This window comes from Homo sapiens, chromosome 11 (genome assembly GCF_000001405.40).
Source record: "Homo sapiens chromosome 11, GRCh38.p14 Primary Assembly".
In the NCBI taxonomy this organism is placed as follows: Eukaryota; Metazoa; Chordata; class Mammalia; order Primates; family Hominidae; genus Homo; species Homo sapiens.
Window position 1 is genome coordinate 57,865,168 of NC_000011.10, and position 6,328 is coordinate 57,871,495.

Here is a 6,328-nt window from a genome sequence, read left to right on the forward strand (position 1 = left end):
TTGTAATGGTTGATGTTATAATACATCTAGGGAATAAGTTATTTAATCCTTTTCTCTTTTGAACATTTAGGTCATTACCAATTTTTCATTTTCACGTGTGCTGCTATGATAGACCTATTTGTATAGTAAGATTTTCTGTATTTAGAATAATTGTCTTGAGGTATATCTGAAAAAAAAAAAAGCTTTTTAGTAATCCAAAAATCTCAGGCTGAAACCAACTCCATTCAGATTAGGACTTTGCATTGGTTTAAGAGTATGCTTTCTAATCCAGTGCTCAACCCTGAATTAGGTCTTCAAGGTCAGCTTCATCATTTGTGTGATTCTATAAAACACATGTGCTCACCATATACATGTACACTTAAAAATAGGCCAAATATAAACATTTAAAACATCAGTTTCCCAAAGCACAGTATCTAATATAATGATGTAACTGCCTAATCATCATACACGTCCCCCTGCCACCAAACCCTTGAGAATTATGAGACACACACACACACACATTTGGCTAAGATACAGACGTACAAGAAAAGATCTGTCTGGATCCGGAGGTTATCATGGAACAGTTCAGCAAAATGTGGTTGCAATAAGAAATAAGGACATTTCTATCCTGGTTATCTCTCCTTTTAGAGCAGGAAAAAAGAACTAAGTCACTTGTTGCCCATTCCCAGTTCATGAAATCAGTGGCAAAACAGAAATGACTGTGTTGCACCTTGTCTGATGTTTCTTGGAAGTTACAATAAGCTGCCAATAAAGACTCAACTTGTGGTCGTGGTGTAATTGAACTATCTCTGGTCGTGATGTGAAATCCCTGATTTTAGATACTCACCCTCTCACTCATGGCATGACTTTAGGTAATTAATTTATTTTTTCTGAGTCATGTATCTTTCATTTGTAAAATGGGATCATTGTAACAAAGGGTGCCTCACAATATGGTGGTGAGAATTTGATATGATAATGGGTAAGAAGATGCTTTATAAACTGTAATGGTCTGTACAAGATATATTTGCTGTTTCTCATTTACTTTTTCTATCTCCTCCAAAACCAGGGCTGCTCTTGATTGGTTACGTTAATTCATAGTGTGCTTTGGAAGATGTTATACCTTCCTCATTCCAACAAGTCACCTTGCAGGGCTCAGCCGGGAAAGATGTTGACCTGAAGCTTCCTCTGCAGAGCGCCCTTCACCTCCTTGTTGCGGAGGCTATAGATGAAGGGATTGAGCATGGGAATTATGATGGTGTAGAAGACGGACACTACTTGGCCATTGGTATTGTTAGTAGATCCATGGGGCTGAACATAGGTGAAAACCACGGTGCCATAGAAAATGGCAATGGCCAGAAAGTGGGAGGCACAAGTGGAGAGGTCCTTCTCCCTCCCTGCTACTGAGCGCATCCTCCCAATGGCCACCAAGACCAAGCAGTAGGAGGTGAGAATGACTGCAGCAGGCAGAAGGGTGACCAGAGCAGAAAAGACATAGAGGACCACTCTTGCTGTGGCTGTGTTGGCACAAGCCAGGTGGAGAAGGGGTGGTATGTCACAGTAGTAGTGTGTTAGCTAGTTGGGCCCACAGAAAGGCAGGGCAAAGACATTTCCAGTCTGGATAGCGGAGTTGGCTCCACCAAATGCATAGGACACAGCTACCAGCTGGAGACAGGTCCCCCTGGTCATGATAGAACCATAATGGAGGGGTTGACAGATGGCTAGGAAGCGGTCATAGGCCATGGAGGCCAGCAGGAAGCTCTCAGCTGTCACATGCACTACAAAGAAGGCGAGCTGGACCACACAGCCCTCAAAAGAGATGGACTTGTCAGAGACCAGGAAGTTGACCAAGAGCTTAGGTGTGACCACAGAAGAGTAACAAATATCAAGAAACGAGAGGACATTGAGGAAGAAATACATTGGGCTTTGGAGATGGGAGTCTGTGAAGATGAGTGCCATCATTCCCAAGTTGCCCACCACTGTTATGGCATAGATGAGCAGGATGGCTCCGAAGAGAAGCTCCTGGAGGTCTGGATAATTGGAGAATCCCTGCAAGATGAACTTGGTGACTGGGGTGTGGTTGCCACTGGCAAGGGCTAGTTCTCCAGGTGTCATCTGCAGAGGTTACAGTTGGCAATCACTCAAACAGTATTACTTGAGCACGTCTACATCTGTGCAAGGTACAATGAGGAAGAATTTCAATCTGTTTTGTGTTGCTATTAAGGAATATCTGAAACTGGGTAAATTTATAAAGAAAAGAGATTTATTTGGCTCCTGGTTCTGCAGGCTGTGCAAGCATGGCATCAGCATCTGTTCTGGTCAGGAACTCAGCAGGCTTTTACTCATGGTGGAAGGCGAAGGGGGAGCAGGCATGACACATGGTGAGAAAGGGAGCACAAGAGAGGGCAGGAGGTGCCAGGCTCCTTTAAACAACCAGCTATTGCATGAACTAACAGAGCAAGAACTCACTCATTACCATGGAGGGGGCAGTAAGACATTCACAAGGGATCTTCCCCCATGACCCAAATACCTCCCACCAGGCCCCACCTCCAACGCTGGGGAGATTTGGAGGGGAAAAACATCTAAACTATAGCATTCTTCCCCTGGCCCCCCAAATCTCATGTTCCTTTCCCCTTGCAAAACACAATCATGCCTTCCCAATAGTCCCCCAAAGTCTTAACTTGTACCAGCATCAGCTGAAAAGTCCAAAGTCCAAAGTGTCATCTGAGACTCCAGGCCAGTTCCTTCCACCTATGAGCCTGTAAAATAAAAAACCATGTAACTTACTTCTAAGACACATTAGTGGTACAGGCATTGGGTAAATATTTCATTCCACAAGGGAGAAACTGTTGAAAAGAAAGGGGCAACAGGCCTCACACAAGTCCAAAACCCAGCAAGGCAGATATTAAATCTTAAAGCTCCACAATCATCCTTGACTCCATGTCCTGCATCCTGGTGAAAGGGGTGGCCTCCCAAGGCCTTGGGAAGCTCCACCCCTGTGGCTTTGCTGGGTGTGGCCCACATGGCTGTTCTCATGGGTTAAAGTGGCTTTTCCATGCTGAGTTTGCAAGCTGCTAGTGGCTCATCCTGGGATCTGGAGGGCAGTGGCTCTGTTCCTGCAGCTCCACTGGGCAGTGCCCTGGTGGAGACTTTGTATGGGGGCTCCAACACCATCTTTCCCCTCAACACTGCCCTTGTAAAGGCTCTCTGTGGGGGCATTTCCCCTGCATGGGGCATCTGCCTGGGCACCCAGGCTTTTCCATACATCCTTTGAAATCTAGATAGAAGCTTCCAAGCCTCCTTCACTCTTGCACTCTGCACACCTGCAGGCTTAACACCACATGGAAACCACCAAGGCTTACGGCTTGTGCCCTCTAGAATGGTGGCCTGAGCTGAACCTGGGGCCCTCTGAAACACAGCTGTAGCTGTAGCCGTGGCATCTGGGATTAGGGGAGCAGTGTCCTGAGGCTGAGCAGGGCAGCATGGACTGGGGCCCTGCTCCTGAAACCATTCCCCCCACCCCTCCAGGCCTCTGGGCCTGTGGTAGAAGAGGCTGCCTCAAAGATTTCTGAAATGGCTTCAAAGCCTTTTTCCCATTGTCTTGGATATTAGCACCTGCCTCCCTTATACTCATGCAAATCTCTCTAGCAAGTGGTTGCTCCACAGCCCTCTTGGCTTCTCCTGAAAATGCTTTTTTCTTCTCTGCCACATGGCCAGGTTGTGATTTTCCAAATTTTTACACTGCACTAACATTTTAGTAAGTTTCAGTATGTCATCATAGGTGTTAGAAGCAGCCATTCCACATCTTGAATGCTTTGCTACTTAGAAATTTTTTCTACCTGATACTCTAAGTCATCATCATTTTTTTTTTTTTTTTGAGACAGGGTCTCACTCTGTTACTCAGGCTGGAGTGCAGTGGCACCGATCATGGCTCACTGCAGCCTCGACCCCCAAGGCTCAAGAGATCCTCCCACCTCAGCCTCCTAAGTTGTTGGGACTACAGGCATGTGCCACCATGCCTAGCTAATTTTTAAATTTTTTCTAGAGACAGGGTCTCACTAGGGTGCCCAGGCTATTCTCAAACTCTTGCACTCAAGCAAACCTCCTGCGTTGGCCTCCCAAAGTGCTGGGATTACAGATGTGAGCCACTGCACCCAGCTCCCTAGGTCATCATTCTTAAGTTCAACCTTCCACAAATCTCTAGGGCATGAACACAAGGCAGCCAAGCTCTTTGCAAAGGCATAACAAGGGTGACCTTTACTCCAGTTTCCAATAAATTTCTCATTTCCCTCTGAGACCTTGTCAGTCTGGCCTTTACTGTCCATATTTCTATTAGCATTTTGATCACAACCATTAACCAGTCTCTAAGAAGTTCAAACTCTCCCTCGTCTTCCTGTCTTCTTCTGAGCCCTGCCAACTCTTCTAGCCTCTGCTCATTACCCAGTTCCAAAGCCACTTCCACATTTTCAGGTATCTTTATAGAGGCACCCCACTTCTCAGTACGAATTTTCTGTGAGTCTATTTTGCGTTGCTATAAAGGAATATCTGAGACTAGGTAATTTATAAACAAAAGTGATTTATGTGGCTCATGATTCTGCAGGTTGAAAAGCATAGCCCCAGCATCTGTTCTGGTCAGGACTTCAGGAAGCTTTTACTCATGGAGGAAGGGGAAGGGGGAGCAGGTGTGTTACACAGCAAGAAAGGGAGCAAGAGAGAATGGGGAGGAGGTGCCAGGCTCCTTTAAACAACCAGCTCTTGTGTGAACTAACAGAGCAGGAACTCACTCATTACCGTGGGGATGGCACCAAGACGTTCATGAGGGATCAGCCCCTATGACCCAAACACCTCCCACCAGCCTCCACCTCCAACACTGGGGACCACATTTCAACATGAGATTTGGTGGGGACAAACATCCAAACTATATCAAATACCAAGTTAAGTATAAGGCTCCTTCTACAAGAAGCCAAAAAAGGGATTTTGTAGGCATTCTAAAGTTAGTTGCTTTTTCTTTCCTTTTTTTCACGTTTCAGTTATTTATTCATCAGTGTAATGTCCAACGCAGTACACCAGCATGATTTCATGTTTGTGGAGGAGAAATATTTCCTGGTTAAGTGGAAAAGTGTGTGGATGGCGTCTAGAAGATCCTAATTCTAAGCAGCTTTACAGTGAAGCATTTCATTTAGAAATCTGGGCCTTCTTTCTTCAGTTTGCTGTAATCTACATTCACTGAGTAGGACTTGTATTGATCATTGGGACTCAGTTTGTTCCAGGGTTCTGGGTTATTGTTTCTGGCCCAACTAACATCTGGACTGAAAGATGCCAGACACAAGACATACCATGCTGCTCCAGTACTCCCAGCTCCAATAAATATGAAGCAGGATATCAAACTCGGATTCTTCTTGGTCTGACTAAGGGTCTGGTGGGGCATGTCTGCAGCAGAAACCTCTGATTCGAAAGGAGAGAACAAGCCTAGCTAATAGGCTCTGGACTAAGCAGTATCTCTATTTACTTTTTCAATACTTAGTTATCAAATTATATCTTCGTGTGGTATTCTGGAAATTTGCATATGCTGGTGAGATGCCTTCTCATAAGATTCAGCATAGGTTAGAAGCATATATTTCTTGGCTGGGTGTGGTGGCTCATGCCTATAATCCCAGCACTTTGAGAGGCCAAGGAGGGTGGATAACTTGAGGTCAGGAGTTGGAGACCAGCCTGGCCAACATAGTGAAACCCTGTTTCTACTAAAAATACAAAAATTAGCTGGGCGTGGTGGTGTGTGCCTATAATCCCAGCTACTCAAGAGTCTGAGGCAGGAGAATCGCTTGAACCTGGGAGGTGAAGGTTGCAGTGAGCTGAGAGCAAGCCACTGCTCTCCAGCCTGGGGGACAAAGCAAGACTCCATCTCAAAAAAAAAAAAAAAAAAAGCAAAAAAAAAAAAGCATGCATTTCTTTTCAAAAGTGGGAGAAGGGCAATTGTGAAGGGGGAGATGAGAGACAGTCCAGCATTCTCATCACAGAGGTGTTCTCAAGCATGTCAGTTTTAGGAAAGCATAGATATGGACATTGAGGTTCTGGAAACCGGTGCCCTTAGAAGGTCTTGCCTGTGAACCCTTTGAAGAGTCTTCACTTACCCTCAGGGCTACCAACCCTCATTTGAAGACTGTGGCCTTAGAAGAACTAGCCGGCTACTGAAACCTCCAAGACCCTGCCTCCGCCCTTGCTGCCTCTCCTCCCTCCCTCCCAGAGATGGGCCTGTGATTATGTGACTGTAGGAGAATTCAAGAAACATTCCATGCCCTTCGCAGAATGACCGTCTATTTACTGGAAAGGTCAGAATATGTGATCTCAAAAG

General features: G+C 45.5%; 1 protein-coding gene and 1 pseudogene across 1 annotated transcript, besides 2 other annotated features; both read right to left on the bottom strand.

Annotated features, from left to right (window-relative positions):
• OR5BA1P (olfactory receptor family 5 subfamily BA member 1 pseudogene) lies at positions 1,135-2,113 on the bottom strand (annotated as a pseudogene).
• Positions 3,033-3,557: an enhancer, noted in NCBI's record as "OCT4-NANOG-H3K27ac-H3K4me1 hESC enhancer chr11:57635672-57636196 (GRCh37/hg19 assembly coordinates)". NCBI's record gives its function as "activates a minimal SCP1, AML or CMV promoter by ChIP-STARR-seq in primed H9 embryonic stem cells {active_cell/tissue: H9 hESC(primed)}" and the evidence as "EXISTENCE:reporter gene assay evidence [ECO:0000049][PMID:30033119]".
• Positions 3,558-4,083: an enhancer, noted in NCBI's record as "OCT4-NANOG-H3K27ac-H3K4me1 hESC enhancer chr11:57636197-57636722 (GRCh37/hg19 assembly coordinates)". NCBI's record gives its function as "activates a minimal SCP1, AML or CMV promoter by ChIP-STARR-seq in primed H9 embryonic stem cells {active_cell/tissue: H9 hESC(primed)}" and the evidence as "EXISTENCE:reporter gene assay evidence [ECO:0000049][PMID:30033119]".
• Positions 5,156-5,427, bottom strand: LOC107984365 (cytochrome c oxidase subunit NDUFA4-like). The gene has a single exon (XM_047427966.1). The coding sequence runs from the start codon at positions 5,402-5,404 to the stop codon at positions 5,156-5,158; it is 249 nt and encodes an 82-aa protein (XP_047283922.1). The 5' UTR covers positions 5,405-5,427.
• Between the last annotated feature and the right edge of the window lie 901 nt (positions 5,428-6,328).